We start from the raw sequence: 24,989 nt of genomic DNA, 5'->3' as shown, positions 1-24,989 counted from the left end.
CACATATGTGTATATATATGTGTATATATATGTGTGTATATATATATATATATATACACACACACACACACATATGTGTATATATATGTGTATATATATGTGTGTATATACACACATATATATATGTGTATATATACACACACATATATATGTGTGTATATATACACATATATATATATATATTTTTTTGAGATGAAGTCTCTGTCTGTCGCCCAGGCTGGAGTACAGCAGTGGGATCTCAGCTCACCGAAACCTCTGCCTCCTGGGTTCAAGCGATTCTCCTGCCACAGACTCCCGAGTAGCTGGAATTACAGGTGTCTGCCAGCATGCCCAGCTAATTTTTGTATTTTTATTAGAGACAGGGTTTCGCCATATTGGCCAGGGTGGTCTCGAACTCTTGACCTCGGGTGATCCGCCCATCTCAGCCTCCCAAAGTGCTGGGATTACAGGTATGAGCCACCATGCCTGGCTGGGATATTTTCTTATGGAGACTCACATGTCTAGTTTGAGCCTTTTGATTTGTAAGCATTTCTATATAGTTACATTTCTTAAATTAATAGAAAAGTATTGAAGTATTTGATCTCTTCCTTTTCCGAAAGGGATTCTCTGTTTTGTCCCATGCTATATGCCCATTTCCCTCCACATTGCTGATACATTGTAGAAATTAAAAGCTTATCTTTTATCTCTGTGACTTTTAAAACATACACACACACAAACACACACAGACACACATACACACGCATGTGCACAAAGACTTCCTATCTCAATTGAAGCTGTTGAATTTCTATTCCATCTAAGATTTGTTAGATGGGTTATTTGTTTGCCTTTAGTGTTGCCTTTAGTGTTTTTTGTTTGTTTGTTTGTTTGTTTGTTTTATCACTAGATGGTAAACCTAAGAGTTCAGATTAAGTGCCATCAGCATTTACTACAATCCCTCACACTTAACGCAAGCTCTTTAAATGTTAGTGATAAAAATGAAGAAATTCAGGGCCACATTACAGAGGCAAGGGAAGTATAATTTGGAATATGTTTTTATGAAATTGTCATTATGGTGGCATTTTTAGTGTTGGTAGTGTTGATGGTTGTGTTGGAGGTGGTGGTACTAGTTTTCATACTGTTAGTTATTTTTGATGATGGTGGTGGATGTATTGGAGGTAAGTGTAGAGGTGGTTCTCTGGAGAGAGTGGTGTTGGAGGTAGAGACAGTACATCTTTCAACTTTATTTGTTCCTTTTGATCCTCGGTCCTTATTTTGCTGACTTTGCTTTCTGGTTTTCTGATCTTTCAAATGTCACTTACATTGTCTGTTTCTATTAATGTGTTTCTTTGTATATTCTTTGGCCCATCTGATTTATTTCTTCTTTTCATTATTTTACATTACTTTGACCTGTTCGTTGAATTGAAGTTTAATCATTAGGCTCCTATATATATATGCACTTTTTTGTTTTTAATTAGAAATAATGCATTATACAAAATTGTTACTGTTGCTTTAAAATATATCTCTTGTCTATCAGTAAAAGCACAGCAGAACCTAATGCCATTTGCTAATTTATTTTTATCTATGTAAATGCTTCCTAGGATTCATTAGAAAATTCCTTTTGAATTTTACTGTCAGTTCAACCAAGAAAGTACACCGAGGCTCTCAAAGCCTATTTTTCTGCTTTCTGGGTCTGTTCCTGCTTCCAAAATTAATCGTAAGAAAGCCAGGTGTGCAGTTATAAAAGAGAAAGCATACAAAATTCAAGATGGCTGAACAAAACCCAAGATGACTTTCATAATTTTCTGACCATTGGATGAAGAAACATATAAAACTGTACATAACCTGTACACATTCATGATGACGCATATGACAAATTATATTTTTGTAAATATTATTTTGCTATTCAAATAAAACAAATTTGATTTTCTTATCTAGCTTGAAAATTATCAAGCCAAACGAGTAAAAGGGATAGTTAAAAATGTTAAGAGTTATTTTTGCTGAAACAGAGCTATCTTGGAATTCAAACTGAGGGAAGGAAAAAGACATTTTAAAACTGACCATTTTGCATCATTTAAATTTTATCTTATGAAGGGAAGAAAATGAAATTAAAGAATGAACATATGATAGAATTATATTTAAAAAATCATCTCACTCTGCATCACAATGCCAGACAACTCGTAAAGGTCCCGTGTTTTCTAACTACAGTTTTGTGAATTCAATGAAATTCTATATCCGATTAAACAAAAGAGATCTGGTTGGAGAGAGAGAAATAAGGCAAACAGAAGACAGTTGAAGATTGTAAATATCTTGAGACTAGTTCTTTTAGTTAGGGAATAGAAATCTCAAATGTAGATTTCATTATTTGTTTTCTAAAAAAAACTGTCTTTCTACAACCTACGTTTCAGACTTTAGTAATTGATTATATATTTTGTTTACAGGATGATCTAACTTGATTTCAGTGATTTCAACTTAATGTAAAATAATTAAATATATGATATGTGTTTATGTGATGAAATCGATCTCTCAAATTGGAACAAAAATAGCAAAACTTACTTCAAAGTTGTCTTTGTTAGAGTCTGAAAGTTTTTTGGGTATACTGAAAATCTTTTACATGTCTTAAGAATATTTATTTTGGTGGAGAAGGCTTAATTTGTTGAACATGATTTAGTCAGATTACACAATATGTGTTTTCAAACAATGAGAAAATCTCCTTGACTAAACGGTACAGATGTTTGACTATTTCTTATTCCTACAAAATCTACTTGGAGACCAAGATTCCTTGCATCTTGTGGCTCTATATCTCATTATGACCTTGACACACAATGTATCACGCCAAAAAGTAAAATTCTATTTCATTCACCTTTGTGATGTATTTATTTCCCCAAGTATGCACTTGCTTGTAACAATGCAATTATCATGTATCTCATAACTTTATACAAATAGCAGGATGTAAATTTTATTTCTATCTTCCTTAAAAGTTCTCTACATGAGAAATAGTACATTACATCACGTCTCTTTCTTACTATTAATAAGGAAATAAAAATCACCATGAGAAACGATGGCAACTTTAAACATAAAACAGAATAACTAGAGTTAAGTTACAAATTAGATTAAATTTAGTGTAAACTTAATAGCATATTATGATGAAGACTACATCCTAGTTCAAGTTATTAACATAAGTGTTCAGTTACAATATTTGGCTGAAAGAATTATTCTTTTAACAATTTATACTTGCACTGACATAAGGAAAATTAAAGTAAAATGTCTTATTATTATCTTTGTACCACTCTAGAAAACATGTAACATTCAGGTAAGAATAATGTTGACTTTATCTTTTGAATGTAAGACACATTTTAATAAATATGATTGCAATAAGAAATTATGAGACTGTTACCAAATTTATATGTTAAAACTAAGTAATTGTTTTGGTACCAATATTAATAAATTATCATTTAACTAGTAACTTCTAAACACAATGTATGTGATCTTAAATAAAATACTGAATTTCTGTATGCCTAAGCCAGTTCCTCATCTATAAATGTGAATATTTTTAGTACCAATGTAAAAGAGTTATTGAGAGGACTGCTTTATTTATTTATTTATTCATTTATTTATTTGAGACGGAGTTTCGTTCTTGCTGCCTAGGCTGGAGTGCGATGGCACGATCTCGGCTCACTGCGATCTTACCATTCCCGGATTCAGGCGATTCTCCTGCCTCTGCCTCCCGGGTAGCTGGGATTTCAGGAGCCTGCCCCAACGCCTGGCTAATTTTTTTATATTTTTAGTAGAGACGGGGTTTCATCATGTTGGCTAAGCTGGTCTGGAACTCCCGACCTCAGGTGTTCCACCAGCCTCGGCCTCCCAAAGTGCTGGGATTACAGGCATGAGCCACTGCGCCCGGCCGGATTGCATTATTTAATACAGGACAACGTTATAGTAACATGCTTGAGTCTTGGGTGCACTAAATAAATTCTAGTCATTTATATCTGTACATTTACTTTAAAAATATAGAATTCTAAAAACTTTTCCTTCTTTTCATTAATTTAGAGATGAAGAATACAAGCCTCAAAGAATCCTTTAATAAAACATTTATCCCTTCCTGAGCAAAGAGTAAAGAAAAATATTATCAATTGAATTTTGATGACATAAAATAAAATAAAGCTAATTATATAAAATAAATAATATATAAAACTATTATTATAGATAACCTAACAAAGTTTGACTATTTTGTTAGTAAGATATTTTAAGTTATTTTTAAAGTGATAATCATTAGATTATACCTAAATAATATTAAATATATTATACCTTTAAAAACTGGACTTGTTTCCTCTAAAATTTTAAAATAGTATATATGCAGCATTTTTGTTGAATTTCACAGTGAGGGTGATTAACATATTGTGTACATTTTTTCCCCATCTTTATGTTTTATGATTCCATTTTATATGTGCTCTTATATGTATGTTTGTATTTTTAATTGGTAGTTTATAAATCCCTGGCCCTTTTTACAAGCATAATGAAAGATGTGCTCCAGCAAAGAAGAATGTAATTCAAATGAGATTAAAAAAAGGGATGCATGTGAAAGTGGATCTATGCAGAATATGTGTAATTGGGGATCCCGAAATGATTGTATAAAGAAACCACATTTGGATTTTCGTGTTACAGATCCAATGAGCAAACAATCCAATTAGAAGTTAGATGCCGGTAGATTCTAGGCGGAGGACTTTGGGGTGGGGTGGAGGAGAGAATAGAACTGGTGTTTTTGAACATTTAAACACGTTTTAAGGCAAGTAGTAGAATTGTTATTTACTTTTATAAAATTAGTGATTACTACATAGAAAATCGGGTAAGAATAAATAAAGAAAAAAATTAGTGCAATAAAAAATAAAGAGCTACAAATCAAAAGAGTAATTGTGTTGTTGGACTTGTATTGATTAGTATTGTAAGAACATAGTATAAAGGTTATCTGTTATTTAAACAAATATTGTCATGTACTGTGAGAGGTGGTGAGAATAAAAATGTTGATGGGAAGATTTTCTCTGCCTTGTAGCAGTCATGACATTATGTATAAAATACATTAATCAAAAATAGCCTTTCAGTCAGGTAATCCAGAAATACAGAGACAAGGTCTTAGAAAAATAACTATACAAGTTAAGGATGATTACTTTGAAAGTGAAGAAGGAGAAGAGATAAGGCAGATGAGGAAAGTTTTTCACTATCAGATTTAAAGACATACGTTTTTAAAAAAATGAGGATATATCACACTGATAAAAAGTATTAAATGTTTAAAATTTGTACTTGGGTGAGTAATTTTCATGATAAATTAAAAGATGTAAGTTTTTTTTAAAAAAGCTAAAGTCTGCAAGTAGCAAGAATAAAAGACATACATTTTAAAGCAACAGGGAAAGAACTCTTTATTCAATAAATGGTGCTGGGATAACTGCCTAACCATTTGCAGATGATTGAAACTAGACCCCTACATTTCACCATGTACAAAATAATAAAAACTCAAGATGGATTAAAGATTTAAATGTAAGATATCAAAATACAAGAATCTTAGAAAAAAACTCGGAAAATATCCTTCTTGACATTGACCTTGGCAAAGAATTTTTGGCTAAGTTCCCAAAAGTATTGCAACAAAAACAAACATTGACAAGTGAGACTTGGTTAAACTGAAGAGTTTGTGCACAGCAAAAGAAACTATCAATAGATTAAACAGACAACTCACAGAATGGGAGATAATATTCACAAACCATGCATCTCACAAAGGTTTAATATCCAGAATCAGTAGGGAACTCAAACAAATCAACAAGCAAAACATAAAATAAAATAAAATAAAAAATGGACAAAGGACATGAACAGCCACTTCTCAAAAAAAAAAAAAGCACACAAGTGGCCAAAAATCATGAAAAAATGCTCATCACTATTCATTAGAGTAATTCAGGTTAAAACCACAATGAGTTATCTCACACCAGTCAGAATGGCTATTATTATAAAGTCAAAAATCAACAGACACTAGTGAGAGTGCTAAAAAAAGGGAATGCTTGTATACTATTGGTAGGAATGTAAGTTAGTTCAACCACTATGGAAAGCAGCTTGGAGATTTCTCAAAGAACTTAAAAGGGAGCTGCCATTTGACACAGCAATCTCATTACTGAGTATATAAAGAAAGGAAAATAGATAATTATACCCAAAAGACACATGCGTTTGCATGTTCATCGCCATGCTATTTACAACAGCAAAGGCATGAAATCAGCCTAGGTGCCCATCAGTGGTGGATTGAGTGAAGAAAATGTGGTACGTCTATGACATGGAATACTATAAAGCCAAAAAAAGAATAAATTGTGTCCTTCACAGCAACATGGACTGAACTGGAGCCCATAATCCTAAGTGAATTAATGAGGGGACAGAAAACCAAATACCACACATTCTCACTTATAAGTGGGAGCTAAACATAGAGCACACATGGACTTAAACATGGGAACAAAAGATACTGTGGCTACTAGAGGAGGAAGTGAAGGAGAGGGGTGTGGATTGAAAAATTACCTATTGAATACTATGCTCACAACCTGGGTTTAATATGCTCATGTAACAAGCCTGCACATGTATCCCTGTATTTAAAATAAGAGTTGAATTAAAAACTAAAATTTTATTTATAAAATAAGTAAAATTTAAAATATAAAAAGATATTTTTAAGACAAAATTTCAGTTAGATAAGAGAAATAAGTTAAAGAGACATATTATGCAACATGGTGACTGTAGTTAATGTATTGTACATACTCCGGAAAATTGCTAAGAGGGAAGATTTTAAATGTTCTCACTACAAAAATTACAATTATGCATATGTTAATCAGCTCAATTTAGCCATTCCACAATGTATGCATATTTCCAAACATGTTGTACATGATAAATATATTCAATTTATATTTGTCAATCAAAAAATTTTAAAGTAACAAAAAAGATACGTTTTAAGCAAGCAATTTTCTTTCTGAACATACACCATTATGTTCCAAATCAGAGTTGCATTATGTAATGTGTTTCCTATCCAACACATGCAAAAAAGTTTTGTTCAGGTATCCTGCTTCAAAATAATATTTTCTATTTGTTTTGCAGATATTTTCTTCATTAGCAGTTATAGTTATTGTATACATTGATTGAAATAACATCATATGTCTAGCAAAAGAGTGCTCAGATTTACATTTTATTTCATAAAGATTTAAAAATATTTAAACACAAACATGCTTGTATGAATGTATATATATCAACTATTTATTCAATTTTCAGACAGTTCAAAGTGCACCTGTGTATTTTCAGACTGTAGTTTGGAACTACAATCTCACATCTAAGAATCTGAGAGAAAAATTTGCACTCATCAGAAAATCGGATATTTCTACTCTCAGAATATACTACTTTTGAATTATAGTTAACATTTTCTTCACTTGCTTCTTTGAATTTTAGAGTTTCTCTTTTGGTGTACCCAAATCCTATGAATGCATTGAAGATAAAATTTTCTTTAAAATATAGATAGTTATAATCTATTTTAATCTCAGCTAGTAAATGTCCTAATTAGTATTACTTAAGACAAATCACTATACCTTTCTAGTAATATGGAAATGACTCATAATTAAGCAATACTGGTTTCATTATCATTGCAAAAAGAGAGACAATAAACATCATTAACAACATCTATGTTCTTTTTTATAGAAACAAAATCCTTTAAAGAGGTAATAGGTTAGGAAAGTTTATTTAAACCATGCCATCCATCTGCATGACTACATTAAAGACAAGCTTAACAAATTCAAATTTATGTGTGTCAAATTCAAAACCTGGTTGAAGGTAGATGCATAAAGTCAGTATTTTCAAAACAAAATAATGTACAAAGTATGATTTTGATCCTTACATTTTGGCGATGAGATCGATTAATATGATTATATAAGAGATAATTTATATTAGTCTCAAGCTATTTGGTTGATGTATCTAGAAGGAATATAATAGAAAATAGAGCATATAATACCTAAATATTATTACTAGATTTGTAGTCCATATAAGTTTTAAACAGTTTTTCCATTATTTTCCCCTTTTTGGGATGCAGTTTCTTATTAATGCATGCATAATTAAATAACATTCCAGGCTGCTGAACTTTAGAACACAACAGAGATATGCAATTATATTTGGGTAATTCACTTTGAGAAATTGCTGGCATGTATTATAGTTCTATCATTTAAACCTTCATCCTTTAATTTCTTCTGTTGATAATTTCAATTATTTTATATTGCCAGTAAGTCACTGATGACTATACCAGTGAGATTCTGTTATGAATATTAGTCAGAGAAGCAAATTAGCTTAAATAATGTACTGTGCAAAGGCAGCAAATTTCTGTAACACCAAGAATAAGCATTTAATATTAACTTTATATGTAGATTATTTGGGTGTATTATTTTAGAAGATAATTTGTGTCAGGTGTCTTGTTCATCTTAGTGCAATCAGATTTGTGCATTACTCAAAGATATGTTCAAGCCTTCTCTCCATGTCTCTCCCTCTTTTTCTTCCTCTCTCTCATTAAGTTTACTTTGTTTTGTTTTGCAGTTTAATATCAGTTATAAATATATTGCTGTAATCAAATGCTTTGTAGAGTTTTCTGTAATACCTGATCAATTTATAAAGCAATTATAGTGACTTTTTCACAATTTCCCTTTGTTCTATCTTTATTTCCCCTAGTAACCACTCTTATATCAGTTCCAAACTGATTATCTTTACATTTTCTCTGAGACTGGCCCAAAGTGACGTGCCAGATTTCAATACTTAGAGAACTCTACACATGGCCTTAAGAAATTCTGATCAACTACGCTGTATGCCTTTTAAAAATGCAAAAACCACACTGCCTCGTATCATCTGATTTTGGTTAGTGTAATGCATGTATGGGCTTTGTCTCTTAAGTATGTTATTCGTGACACTTATTAGAGTTTTATGTATTTAAAATAGAAATCTCCAAACCAATTTAAAATTGCTTGTGGGCATGAACCAAATTTTATATTTCATTTGAACCACATGGTAGGTACCTCACATAAAGCTAATGATTTTGTCAAGTCAATCTAGCAATCCCATTCAATTGATATTTATTTAACCATTAATGATTGTCTACCTATTTTGTGTCAGACACTGCATTTGTGGGATAGGTATGTTTGTCTCTAATGTCATGAAGTTCTACTAAGGCTCTTAGCAGCAAGTAAGCAATTGATTACTGTGGTGGCATATGAAAAAGCATATTTAAAATTTTATAATATAAAATTATAATATAATATAAATATAACATAAAGTCTATGCTTAACAAAAAATGACTGCTATGTGGATGGCATTTTTAATTTTTTATTTCTATTGTGTTTGTTATCCTAGTCTGTTCAGGCAGCTATAAGCTATAAAAAAGATTATAAACAGCAGAAATTTATTTCTCACAGTTTTGGAGGCTGGGAAGTTCAAGACCATGGGACTGGCAAATTTAGTTTCTGGTTAGGGTCCCCTCCCTGGTTCACAGATGGCTATCTCCTCAATGTCCCCACATGGTGGAAGGGGCAAGGGGCAAGTCCAAGGTCTCCTGGACTGTTTTTATAAGGTTACTAATCCCATTCAGGAGGGTTTCACCCTCATGACCTAATCACCTGACGAAGGCCCTAAGGCCCATCTCCTTAGGGTTAGGATTTCAGCACATGAATTTGGGGGTTGGACATAAACATTTTGTCTATAACAGTCATCAATTAAAATTGATGCTGTTAATGTATATAAAATTATAAACAGGATTATTAAAAACTAGTCAGAAATGTTGAGTTGCGGGAATATATAATAATTAACACACACACATACAATTTAATCTGTGAAATGATGGAAACTTTTGCCGGACACGGTGGCTCATGCCTGCAATCCCAGCACTTTGGGAGGCCGAGGCAGGCAGATCACGAATTCACGAGATCGAGACCATCCTGGCCAATACGGTGAAACCCCGCCTCTACTAAAAATACAAAAAATTAGCCAGGTGTGATGGTGGGCGCCTGTAGTCCCAGCTACTCGGGAGGCTGAGGCAGGAGAATGGCGTGAACCCGGGAAGCAGAGCTTGCAGTGAGCCGAGATCGTGCCACTGCACTCCAGCCTGGGCGACAGAGCAAGACTCCGTCTCAAAAGAAAAAAAAAAAAAGAAATGATGGAAACTTTTCTTGAGTAGCACTCAATTGGCAGACTTTCCTCATTCAAAAGCCAGGTGAACTATAAAATAACCTTGCAGACTCACAACAAGTGAGTAAAAAATATACAGAAGAGAAAGGCAACGTTCAGAATGTCAAAAAGAAGTAACAATAAAGAAATCCAATTTTGATGAAAATCAGCAGAGACAACAGAAATATACCAAGATTGCATTTGATAAGAAAATCTTAAATTCTGTGAAAATAGAAACAGACATGGCTAGAGGTAGAAATATTAAGTTGATAGTGAGGGAATGTAAACAGCAAAATGAAAAATCGTGATATATAGACATGCATTTTAAATGAGATTGCAGGTGACATGATGGTTCATTTTAGGTGACAACTTGACTAGGTCACAGTACCCAAATCTTTGGTCCAACAATGTGAATACTTCTGTAAAGGCAGTTTTTAGATAAGGCCAACATTTAAATCAGTAGACTTCTAATAAAGCAAGCTGCCTTCCATAATGTGAGTGGGCATCAACCGTTCAGTTGAAGACCTCGAGAGAAAACAGATTGAGAGCCCCAGAGAAAGAGGAAACTTTGTCTCCAGATTGTCTTCCTACATGAGCTGCAACAGTAACTCCTCCTGGCATCTCCAGCCTACTGGCCTGCCCTGCCAATTTTGGACTTTACCGGTCTCCCCAGTTCTGTGAGCCACTTTCTTAAAAGAAATATCTTGTAGAATTTGGATGTGCATCTGGTAGAATTTCCATGTGCTCATTTGTAAGTGGGAGCTAAATAATGAGAACACATGGATACATAGAGGGCAGCAACACACACTGGGACCTACCGGAGGTGGAGAGTGGGAGGAAAGAGAGGAACAGGAAAAATAACTAATGGGTACTAAGCATAATACCTGGCTGCCAAAATAATCTGTCCAGCAAACCCCCAAGACATGGATTTATCTACATAACAAACTGCACATGTACCCCTGAACTTAAAATAAATGTTAACAAAACATTAACAAAAATCTTCCTGCTTCTCTCTCTTCCTTCCTCACACATATATGGGTGTACATGTGTGTGCATGTGGGCATGCGTGTGTGTGTCTATACATACATGCACATACACATGTAATGAAGAAAAATTTCATATCTATATGCAATGAACTGAATGTTTGTGTTCACTCAAAATGTGTATGTTGAAATTCTGACCCCAACGTGATGATATTTAGAGGTGGGGCATTTGTAACATGATTAGGTCATGAGGGTACAGCCCTTGTGAATGGGTTTAATGCCCTTATAAAAGAGACCACAGAGCGCTTTTTTCCACTATGTGAGGATATAATGAGAAGTTAGCAGTCTGCAACTTGGAAGAGAGCTCTCACCAGAACTCGAGCGTGCTGATACCCTGATGTCAGACGTCCAGCCTCCAGAACTCTTAAGAAATACATTTCTGTTGTTTATAAGCCAACCAGTATATGGCATTTTATCCCAAACTGCTTAAGACAATATATCTACACACACGCGCGCACACACACATACACACACACACACACATACACACACACACATACACACACACATCCATTGGTTCTGTGGTTCTCTGGCTAATACAGTGACAAAATCAAATAATGATGCAGAGTAAAAGTTCCATACAAAAATTATCTAGTTAGAAATAGGGACTGAGATGATCACTAATGAAGCACTATGAAACTGTACTGTCATTTTGCACTTTATTGCTCCTTATTATGTAGCTGAAAATGAAGTTAACTATATTTTTAATAACTGATTTAGTAATTTCTAGGGTGTGCCACACGTTCGAGTATTAGTCTGGTTGCTCTCTATTTCCTTCGCCTTATATGTGGAAGTCTTTCTGATAGAATACAAACATATACCACATATACTTATATATATGTGGTATATATATACACACGTATATATATAAACTTAAGAATTTGTATACACACACACACACAGAGATCAAAAGAATCACTGCTGGAGAGTGTTTGTGCTTAGAACCTGTTTCTAATATAACAAAAATAGAGAGGACTGGGTATGGGGAAGAAAAGCAAGAGGAATGAGGAGCAATTGCATAAAGAGAAGAGAAGGCCAATCTGGAGAATCACATTACAGGAGACCTAGATGGAATTTGGAATCACATTCCCCATCTATCCCATAGTCCTATTCTCTACACAACTTGCCAATTTAACAGATCTGGATTCTTGTAAACCACCCTGTAAGAGTAGGGGCCTTAACGACACTAGTGCAAATGGTAACATGAAGGGAGAAACTGCCACACTAATTGATTTGGATCCTGTAAGAACCACTGGAGAATTTCTTAGTGAGTGGTTGTGATGCTGGAACCATAGATACTAGTACATAAAAAGCTTTTATTATCATTGAAGAGATAAGAAATGCACCTCTGCCTGTCTTATAGAATGGATGCCTGGCCCTAAGGGATCTTAACTCTCAAACCTAGTCTTGATACTTCTTTTTATAGTGAGCTGACCAAGCAGTGCCATATTTAAAATGCTGCTCTAGAGAGATGTACTTAGCAGGTCTTCATCATTATATTATTTTCACAGTGGTTGTACACTCAACAGTTTAGGACTCAGGAAGTTAATGGGTGGAGGGCATTCCTTGCATAAAATTCTGTGTTCAACATTAACATGATTAAATTTATTAACTGGTACTTATACATATGTAATGTAGAATAAATAATTCCCTGACACCAAAGGTGAGCATGGAAGATTCAACATGCATCTACTCTTATGCCATCACATACTTTGTGCTATCTTATACATTTCAAAAATAGCTAATCTACAAATGTGAAGACTATGATTCACCTAAACAGATTATATCACAATAAACTGAATTATGCTCATTTCTATTAAATTCATGTTTAACACTGCTAATATTAACTGCATAATAATTCTAAATACAAACTACATGCTGATTCTTCGTGTTTTGTATATTTATAATTTTTACATTATAGCACTTTTTAAGAATGCATTGATTTTGTATTTTATAGTCATAATCAAAATGAAATAGAAAAATAACCCCCTGCCGCGCCCTTCCGGCAGCTCCTGCAGCCGTAGCCCCGGCCGTGCGCCCCGTCCTTGGTGCTGCTCAGCGTGCGCACCGGGTCCCCGGGGTCCCAGAGATGGCTTGGCCTCCTGCGGCCTCGCAGGTCCTGCCCCAGTGGCTGTGGCGCGCTGCACACCGAAGGAGACTGTTGATATCCTGAATGGTGAAATTGAGGAGGAGAGGAAAATCCAGAAGCATAAAACCCTCCCTAAGATGTCTGGAGGATGGGAGCGGCAGTTAAATGGGACAGAAGCTAAATTAGTGGGAAAAGCTGCCGGGGAAAGATCGCTGTCACTTTCAACATTAACAACAGCATCCCACCGACACTTGATGGCAAGGAGGAACCCTCGAAAGGGCAGCAAGTTGGAGAACAGGAGCCTGAATTGACATCACCTCCCAATTTCGTGGTCCAAGTTTTGAAGAGTGGTGGCAAGAAGGCCCTTGTGCTGGACTGTCACTACCCAGAGGATGAGGGTGGGCCAGAAGAGGAGGTTGAGAGTGACCTTTTCTCTATCAGGGAAGTAACTTTCAGTCCAATGGGGAGTCTCAATGAAAGGACACTAATTTTATACTCAACACAGATTTCCGGGACTCGGCCTTATATGACCACCTAGTGGATTTCCTTGTGAATGGAGGGGTGGCCAACCCTTTTGCCCATAAGCTAATGGAGCTCAGCACAGCCCTGGAGGAGCAGGAGTACATGACTTTTCTTGAAGACCTCAGAAGTTCTGTCAAGAGCCAGTAGAACGGACAGACACTGAAAGCCATAGTTTTATGGCAGGCTTTGGCCGATGAACAAATCCTACCCTGAAGCCAGACACATGTGCTTTAAAATGATTGTCATCTTAATACCACTGGGAAAAATAGCAAATTTAAATTCTTTCTTTTGTGCTCCCATTTATTATCATTTGTTTTTTCTGTACAAATCTATTCTTTCTAGATTTTTATATAACACGATAGACAATAAAATGGGTTTGTCTCCTCAAAGACAAAAAGAAAAATAAATATGTCTGAAATTTTGTGGCAAAATTACAAATAATTAACTCACCAACTCGAATGCTTTCTCTATTAAGCATGGTAGGTATATCTTCAATATATTCACATGTAGAACTATGTCAGTAGGTATACATTTATATATGTGTATGTGCTCTAAAATCATTATTCGAATGAAAAAATAAGGTAATAATAATATAATAAGCCTATAAAATAATTATACTTATAATCTTTAATGTAGCAAAAAATCCTGGAAAATTTAGGACATATGTGTGTATTGTGTGTGTGTGCGTGTGTGTGTGTGTGTGTAAACTGAATCTGATTTGTAGAGAAAATTGAACTAGTCTTAACGTATCTTTTCTTTCTAATAAGAGCAAGCAAGGTGAGAGGGTTGATAATGTACTCAATCGCTGAGTAGTTGAAGGCATTCCTTTTTTTCCTCTTCTATCTTTTCCCTTTGTATTTGTTGTGTGGTGAGTTAATAAAACTTTGCTATAATCAATGGTAAAGAATAGAGAAAAAAATATAACTTGCTTACTTCTTTTTTTGCCAAAAATTATGCTCACAGAATTAACATCTAAGTTTTTGGTTGAAATTAAGCTTTCTTAATATTTACTATTGCAATGTCCTTACTTGTGTTTTTTTTCAATTAATAGATGTCACACCACACAACTGAATATGCTATGTAATAATAATAAAAATAACAATAGCCACTATAATCTTCATTCTACATGGTTAGGAAGACACAGGCATTACATGCTTATTTTCAATGTCAGCCATTAAATATCCAGGAACTGGAAATGTTATTAAGCTAAATAGAGATTTTGACTGAAATTAGAGACTTATATACTAACAAGCATGTAACATTAATTAATATAACAGAAAGCCAGGATTATCTGAAGTCTAAACTCTTCCACATCCTGTTTAATCTATTTGCTACCTTCAAAAGAACTTGAGAAATACATGATCAATTTACTTTTATCCTTCATAAATAGTTTAATGTAGGGTTGACTGTTAAGCAGGAAGATATGCATTCGACCCCATCATGAATCTGAATCAGTAAAATACTCTGAGAATACCTTTCTCGATGAAGCAAATTAATGTCTCCAGGACAGCAGGTAATTTAGTTAATATCTTTTCTGCCTTTGCACACAACACTCTGCTCTCTTGAAAAATTTGCATTTACCTTGCAGAAGGAAATTGCTCATCTCCAAAAACCTTTACTCAACAGATTCAACATGCATTCATACACCAGATCCATCTTAGTTTTGGATTTATACATCCTCAAAAACAAATATTTATGCCATATATTTCCAAACTTTCTGAATATTTCACATACTTTTGGCTCAAAACACCTTAGCAATTATCAGAATGAATCCATTATTGTACTATAAATATGCAGAGATTCACTTTATTTTCAAATTTAATGAACTGTATATTATACTTAGCTGTCAAATTTCCATTTTAGGAAACTCAATAGGGAAACCAGAAGATGCCATTAACGTACTTTAAAGAGTAAAAACAAAAATTAGTATAAAATGCTCTCCTGACATTGATTCCACATAAAAGACTTTAAAAGAAAATAAGCAGCAGAATATGTTCTAACAAGAGACATAAATTGTTATTTGTTTTACTTAACACAGCTCTGCAATCCACCAGTTTATGAAGAAGTACAGTTATACTCTCAATACCAGAGTTTGATGTCATTGATTAAATAATATGCCTGTTAACATGTAAATCAGCAGTAGTTTAAGCAACACTATAATAAACAGATTACTATGAGCACATCAGGTAAGCAGTACCATTAAAGTTCCTAAGGCTCTCTAAATATTGTAATTTGGAGAAAAATGTAAATGATAGTTCACTGCTTTTTATACAATATTTTCTGCTTTATGCAACAGGAAAAAAAAGAAAGAATCTTATAACAAACTACTTGTGAACATAATATATTGGAAAGTATATTGTGAGAAATTTTTACCCAAAAGATTTTATTTTTATACTCTTTGCTTGATACACATACATTGCACATCAACATTACAGAGAAACACAAGAGATAAGTGGAAGGAACTTGTTGAAAAATAAAGCTTGAGAACTGCTTATAAATCAAAGTAAGTTTCAGATTGTGACATTTCATTGTAAATGGCACTAAAACATTAAGAATTCTGTTGTAACACTATTGTTTTGTCCTCCAACTAAATGACATCATATATAAAAGCTTTAAACAAAGTAGTTACAGGAAATAAGTATTTCTCTCTAACTAGACAAGTTTAAAGATTTCTGAGTTCTAACTTCATCTCTAAGAAGATTTTACTCTCCAGCTTTGCATTTGACTATCTGCAATTTGCAAATGGTATATAACCTATATTTTCACTAATGTATTGAAGGAAAGAGGATAGATACACTTTTGTTCCTAGCTATAACGCTATGATTATTTCTATGCTATCCTAAAATATAAACCTCTCAGTAACTTTCAGCTTTCCTATGCTTTTTACACATTAAATCAAATGACACTTCTTTTTGCGTTATTTCAAAGCAGCTTTTTAATTTTATGTTACCTCAAAAATCACATTATGAAACAAGACTAGGGTACAGGTAGTATGTGTGGTAGAGTGAGGGGGAAAGACTGGAACTCCAGCAAATAAGAGTGTGGAAAAGAAATGTCAGATACAGGAGAGTGGAAAAAGAGGTGTGAGACTGAATTTTCTCAGTCAGGTTTTAAGGACTCAATTCATCCAGGAAATCTGAGCATCATATGCCTCCCAGAATTGTCTGCATAAAGGAGATAATCTGGGACATTTGTCTCTGGGCTCCCATTCTCATTTGGTTCTTGTGGGGAAGGAGGTAAGCTATGAACTCAGTTCTACCTCCTAACTGCACTTCTCCCTTTGTTTAAACAAGAACCTGTGGCAGAGAGCAGAAAAATGGATATCACACGCTCAAATTGTTATGCTGAAAACAGGTTTGCCTAGAGACGGGACACTGAAAAATTAAAGGATCTGCCACACATAGTCCCACTTTTCATAGTAGTCTGTAAATAAGAACAGACAACACCATCATCTCTTGCTGCCCCCCCATCCCTTAATTAAATATGCCTCACACATTATTTAAGACATATCATGAAATCAGGGTTTCACATGAAAGAGGTCTCACCATCTAACCTTAGAAAAATCTCATTTTATTTTTACTTTGTGCGTAAGAGGAAGAGAGACAGAGAGAGTGACTGAGATTAATAGGAAGTATTGTACTTTCTAGAAAACGGTTTTAAATGTGAATTAAAACTTTTTAAAAAATTTTTATTTATTTTATTTATTTATTTATTTGTTTTTGAGACGGAGTCTCGCTGTGTCACCTGGGCTGGAGTTCAATGGCTCGATCTTGGCTCACTGCAACCTCTACTTCCCAGGTTCAAGCAATTCTCCTGCTTCAGGCTCCTGAGTAGCTGGGACTACAGGCGCCATGCCACCATGCCCAGCTAATTTTTGTATTTTTGGTAGAGATGAGGTTTCACCATGTTGGCAAGGATGGTCTCAATCTCTTGATCTCATGATTCGCCAGCCTTGGCCTCCCAAAGTGCTAGGATTACAGGCATGAGTGAATTAAAACTTTAAATTATAAAGTCGGCTTTAGGAGGGGAATTTCTGACATTTCTAAAAGAGAAAGGAAAGCACATTTTTTGTTGTTGTTGTTTTAGAGATTCAAGACAAATATTTCTTCTGCCTATTAATTAATTATCTCTTTGACCTATTCAAATACTTCAAGACTATTCATAAGAAAGGATGTTTTTAACAGTTCATATCACCATAAGTCTAATCAAATGTTTTGCAAATAATTAAGAGAGATTCATGTTTAACTTCTATTTTTTTCTGTATTGTTATATCAAATATTTATACATAATGCCAAGGAAACCACATGAAAGACATGGGTTATTTATATGTAAGTGTTCACTGTTTAATATGCCTGGTAAATTAAATATAAAGACTGAAGTTGATTTAGACTGAAAGGAGTCTTGCTAATTTTTCAAAACATTTTCAAAATTACTAAGTACTACTGTAGCATAATGTTATGAAAACATAAATGCTTTCAGTGGGTAAAGTGGAAGTATATTTTAATGTCATTATGAATAAAGCTTATGTGAACATTCTAATACATATTCTAGATATTTATTTAGTTCTGTTGAGAATTTACCTATGAGTGAAATGCTGAGGTCATGAAATGAGCACAGGATCAATTTTCGCAGATGGTGACTCCTCTAGTTTGAATGTTTGTTTTCTCCAGAACTCATGTTCACATTTAATTGCCATTGTAACAGTATATTAGCAGGTGGGATGTTTAAGAGGTGATTAGGCCATGAGAGATCCACCCTCATAAATGGATTAATGTCATGATAAAAAGTGCTTTCAGGAGTGCGCTGACAAAAGTTTTTGTATGGGTGTAACTTTTCAACCCATTTGAGTGGCTATTAAAGGGTGTAAATGTTGGATCATTTCATAAGAGCATTTCATTTTGTAGAAAACTGCCAACATGTCTTCCAAAGTAGCTGCACCATTTTCAATCCCAGCAGCAATGAGTGAGTCTTCCTGTTGATCCACATCCTCAACAGCTTTGGGTGTTCTCAATGTTTTTGATTTGGTGTGAGATATTTTTGATGGTATTTTAAATTATACATAATTTCATTTTCTAGTAGTTGCTATTACTGTAATAAAAATCATTTGATTTTTGTATTTGGCCTTTTGCCTAGCAACCCTACTAAATTCACTGCTTAATTCTGTTAATTTACCTGTCGAATTAAACTTCATATACAATTGTCATAGTCAGAATGTTTCTACCCCTCACCCCCAAATTCATACATTGAAATCTAATCCTCAATGCAATGGTATTAAGAGGTGAGGCTTTTGGGAGATAATCAGGTCATGAAAGCTCCACCCTCATGCATGAAATTAGTGCCCTTATAAAAGAGCACAAGGGAGCTTGATTATCATTCTGTCATGTGAGGACACAGCTACAAGTTGCCATTAAAGAAGCACAGAGCAAGTCCTCACCAGGGAAATTGGCTGGCATTTTGATCTTGGACTTCCCAGTTTCCAGAACTGTAAGCAATAAATTTCTGTTGTTTACAAAGTACCCAGTCTAATGTATTAATGTATTTTGCTATAGCAGCCTGACTGGATAAAGACAACAGTGATGACACTTGTGCCTAAGTTTTATTTTTTCATTTGTTTTTTAAAATCATTTTCCTGCCTGATTTTTAGAACTACCAGGACTATGTTAGATAGAAACAGTGATACAGTATATGTTTATCATGTTCAGTCTCAGAAAACAAGCTTTCAATATAGTACTAGTCAATATAAAGTTTTTTTGTTTTTTGTTTTTTCGAGACTGAGTTTCACTCTTGTTGCCCAGGCTGGAGTGCAATGGCGCGATCTTGGCTCACTGTAACCTCCACCTCCTGGGTTCAAGTGATTCTCCTGCCTCAGCCTCCTGTGTAGCTGGGATTACAGGCATGCACCACCACTTCCGGCTATTTTTTTTTTTGTATTTTTATTAGAGATGGGGTTTCTTCATGTTGGTCCAGTTGGTCTTGAACTCCCGACCTCAGGTGATCCACCAGCCTCGGCCTTCCAAAGTGCTGGGATTACAGGCGTAAGCCACCATGCCCAGCCCAATATGAAGTTTTTGATATGCTATTTGTAGAAATTCTTCATCAAATTGAAGAATTAGGATATTTTAGTGTGCTAAGAGAATTTCCATACACAGATGTTGAATTTTATCAAATTTTTTACATTATTTCACACCTAATAAAAATCATTAGATGATTTTGTGTTCTATATTGCTAATATGTATAGTAGTTCTGCTAAAAATTGCTAAATTCAACCTAGCCATAACGTAAACCTTTCCATTATATATTATCTTCTTACATATACTGACTTCCAATTGTTCATTTTGCTTAAAATATTTGATTTTATATTCATGACAGAATGAATTCATATTCATTTATATTCATGAAGATAATATTCATAAAAGAGATAAGTTTACTTTCTACTGTTTTTGTAAGGTTTTAGTATTAGTAATATGCTAGCCGCATACAATTTCTTGAAAATGTTCCCTTTTCTCTATTCTCTAAAACAGTTTCTATAAAATTGACATTAGTTCTTCCTTAAGGTATTATAGCAACTGACAATTAACTTTTTAAGACAATAGTATAAATTATTGAATCAGTAAATTTTCTGAATATAGGACTATTTATGTTTCTATATCTTCCTGAATTCATTTGGAAAATCCTGTTTTTCAAAAAGTTGATCTATTTCATATAACTTAAAAGTTATTGACATAAAATTGTTTTCCTCTGATAACCGTTTCATGTTCTAACTGATAAAAGAATTTCTTTTCTTCATTTTTACTAAGTATAACTCATAGCTTTTATTTTTTAAGTATAACAACATTCCTAGAGATATGAGCATTTTATTTATCTTTTAAAAAACAACTTTTAGCCTTGTTTGGTTTCTCTTTTATATGATTTATTGCTAAATCATTGGTTTTTTTGCTCATACCTTTATTATTTCCTTTTTTGCTAGTTTTGTGTGTGTAGGTGTGAGGGGTGTATTACTCCTTAAGGTATTGATTGTCAGTCTCTATTTCTAATAAGTGCATTTTTGTTAGAAACTTTTCCATAAGAATTGCTGTTTTGCATCTACAAGTTTCTATCATATATTCATTATAACTCATGACCAAAATAAATTCAAATTTAGATTTAGATTTCTTCTTTAAATCATAGGTTATAATATTCATATATAAGTGTATTCCTAAATGTCTAAAGGCATGTGGTTTTAGTTTTATTATTATTTATTATTTCTAGTTTAATTCTACTGTGCAGAGAAAACACACACTCAATAATGTCATTATTTAAAATTTTGTTAAGATTTGACTTGTGGGTATTGGTTTTAAATTTTGGTCAGATATTTTCTATTTTGTTGAATGTTTCACGTGAAATTAAAAATAAAATATTCTACTGTTGCTCTTATGTTTTATATATGAAAATACGATTCGGTTTTTCAAATGTATTTTCAACTCTCTTATTTCCCTACTGATTTTATAGTTTAATTTTTCTGTCATTTACTAAGAGAGGGGTTTTTAAAATCTGCAATATAATTATGGATTTGTCACTTCCATTATAGTCATCATTTTTTGTGTATAGAGTATATAAAAATGTAATATTTTTTCTTCTTGAATGTTAGCACTTATCATTATAAAATATTATTCTTATGTCTAGTAATAAGTCTTTTCCAGTATTTTATTTTATGTTATATTCATTAGCTGTGTTATTCTTTTAGTTTGTGCTAACATGGTAAATCTTTTTATCATCAGTATACTTTGAATGCTGGGTATGCTTATAGTTAAAATGCATATCTTGTAAGCATTATTTAATTGTTATTGCCATTGTTTTTCTCAGTGAGAGGATTGGTGTAATAATGTAATATTCCCTGCTCATCACGTTCAGAACCAGAAGTGTGTCAAAGTCTATTTATATAGTCATTTTATATGGTCCAATTTCAGTTTCTATCACATTATGTGGCACATATAATTCTTCAACAAATAGTAGTTTAATGAAACATAGTAGAAACGACTTTAAAAATTGTGATCCTTCAAAACTACATGTAAATGACAAACATGCAAAATTCTAAATTTATGATTATTTCTAAGAACTATCTGAAGTGTATAGTGAATTCATTTAAATAAATAATTTTGAAACCCTTAACTCTTGGCTGTTATAGAGAATCTGATCATAGGGCAGAAAAAATTAATTATTATAATATGTAGAAATAAGTACACTTACAGATATAGCAAAGAATCCTCTGTGACTCCTGAAGAGGAACATTTTTAATCACACTGCACCAGAGAGTTTGAGAAAGCTTCCTTGAGGTCAAACCTTGCTTAAGACCTAAAGGCAAATTAAAAATTCAAGTAAAGAATAAGGAAAAGGTCATTCCAGACAAGAGGAATGTCATGTGTGAAGGCCCAGAGGTGTGAAAGTAAATCTAACACATGACAAAAGTGCATGCAAAGGTAACTAAATGCTTGGAGCATAATTGAGCCCATTAAATATTAGTCAAATAAAGAAATGATAGAAGTATAAACCTTTGACATTTATTAATTCCACAGTAATCAATCCTTCATATGAATAGCCTCAAAAATGGCTCTGATAAATTATGAAAGCTACCAGGATATTGAGAAAGATAAGAGTCATGGAGGAATACAATATGAGAATGAGAAAGACTATCATGCTTTCTTCAAAATATTTACTCCTACTCTTTGGAGCTGTATACTGCAATTAGATCAATCATTCTTCTGCTAAATACATGAAGTATTTTCTTACATAAAGTGGACATTTTTTAAAAAGTCTAACATTTATTTGAGAGTATGTACAGTATGATGTTTATATTTATTAGTAATAAAAATGGTTTTAATTACAAATTTCATTTACTTTTCTGAAATGGAAATATTTGTGTGTTTTTTGTACATGCAATGCAGATAAAAAGGTTTTTCCTTGCAGAGAATGTTTTTCACTTAAGATTAATACACAGTCATGTGTCACTTAACAATGGGGATATATTCTGAGAAATGCATCATTAAATGCTTTTGTAGCTTTGCAATATCATACAGTATACTTTCACAAACCTAGATGGTACAGCCTACAACACACCTAGACTATAGGCTATAGCCCATTGCTCCTAGACTACAAACCTGTACAGCATGTTACTGTACTGAAAACTTTAGGCTATTGTAACACATTATTTGTGTATCTAAAAATATCTAAAAATGGATGGGCGTGGTGGCTCACACCTGTAATCCCACCATTTTGGGAGGCCGAGGCAGGTGGATCAACTGAGGTCGGGAGTTCGAGACCAGCCTGGCCAACCTGGTGAAACCCTGTCTCTACTAAAATACAAAAAATTAGTCGGGCATGGTGGCGTGCACCTGTAAGACCAGGAGGCTGAGGTCGGAGAATCTCTTGAACCTGGGAGGTGGAGGTTGCAGTGAGCTAAGATCATGCCATTGCACTCCAGCTTGGGCAACAAGAGCGAAACTCCACCCTCCCCCCTAAAAAAAAATCTAAACATAAAAATGATACAGTAAAAATGTAGTGTAAATGGTAAAAAAATAATAGAAATAATAATATATCTGTTTAGGACACTTACCATGAATAAAGCTTGCAAGACTGGAGCTTGGAGGGCTTGTTCTGCGTGAGTCAATGAGTGAGTCTGAGTGAAGATAAAGGCCTAGAACATTAGTGTACACTACAGTAGACTTTATAAACATTGCACACTTGGGCTACACTGAAATTATTTTATAAAATTTCTTTCTTCAATAATAAATTAATGTTAATTTACTGTAACTTTTTTTACTTTATGTACATTTCATTTTTTAAGCTTTTAATTCATAATAACCTTTAGCTTACAACACAAATGCATTGTACAACGGTGCAAAAATATTTTCTTTCTTCATATCCTTACTCTATAAGCTTTTTGCTATGTTTAATTTTTACTTTTTAAAGCTATTTTGTTAAAAATTACGACACACACACACATTAGCTTAGGCCTACCCAAGGTAAGGCTCATCAATATCACTGCCTTCCATCTCCAAATCTTGTCCCACTAGAAGTCTGCAGGGGTAATAATAGGCATGCTGCTATCATCTCCTGTAACAATGAGTTCTTCTAAAATGCCACCTAAACAACCTGCCTGAGGCTATTTTACAGTTAATTTTTTTATAAGTAGGAAGAGTACACTCTAAAAGAAAGATACAATGTCTAGTATAGTAAACACATAAAGCAGTAACACAGTTTATTATTCAGTATTATGTACTGTGTATAATTGTATCTTATACAGTTAGTAGTGCAGCACGTTAATTTACACCAGCATCACCACAGACCCCTGAATAATGCATTGCGCTATGATGTTACAATCGCTACAAAGTCATTAAGCCATAGAAATGTTTTTGCTCCTTTTCAATCTTATGAGACCACCACCCTATAGGTGGTCCATTGTTGACCAAAATGTCCTTAGGAAGCACATGACTGTATATAGTGTAAATCCATTTTTATGTTTTTGGCATATAGATGTCCAAGTGTTCTTGAAAGATTTATTAAAAACACTACATTTTTTTTCACTGTATTGCCTATGCATGTTTGTGAAAAATAAGTTAAATAAGTTATCTAAAACTTGCAAAACTGAGCACAAGATTTGTGTTGTAGTTAACGGTATTTTATCAATGCCAATTTTGTATATCTAAAGATGGTTAAACATAGGAAAAACACAGTATAAACATGGTATTATAAACTTGTGGGACCACCGTCATGCACACAGTCCACCATTGACCGAAACATCCCTAGGTGGCATCTGATTAGGCCATTTCTCCGTTCACAATGCCTGCCAAAGAGTAGGCACTTATTAAATTGTACTTAAATAGATGCAAATGTACCTCAAGGGAATGGTCAAACTCATCACTTTGTCAAGAATGTTTAGGTTACATAGTCTGCATCAAGAAGAAGGTATTATTCATTTAAGTGTACTGCATGTAAGATTTAAAAATTAAAATTCCTCAGACCTTATCAACAGCATCGGGCTACTGAATATAAAGTTTACTTAACATCTTATTGTATTTTCGCTGGCACAATATAGACAATAAATTGTTGTAAATAAATATGATGTTTTGAAGAAACATAATATCTAAAGAAGGAAATGTCTGTTCAGTTTTCAAAAGCAG

The 24,989-nt window shown here is 33.6% G+C and overlaps 1 pseudogene; it reads left to right on the top strand.

Moving 5' to 3' along the window:
* C1QBPP1 (complement C1q binding protein pseudogene 1) lies at positions 13,212–14,222 on the top strand (annotated as a pseudogene).

The sequence above is a fragment of the Homo sapiens genome, chromosome 21 (genome assembly GCF_000001405.40).
Source record: "Homo sapiens chromosome 21, GRCh38.p14 Primary Assembly".
NCBI lineage: Eukaryota > Metazoa > Chordata > Mammalia > Primates > Hominidae > Homo > Homo sapiens.
Note: the sequence above shows the minus strand (reverse complement) of the source record. Positions and strands in the feature narration are given on the sequence as shown.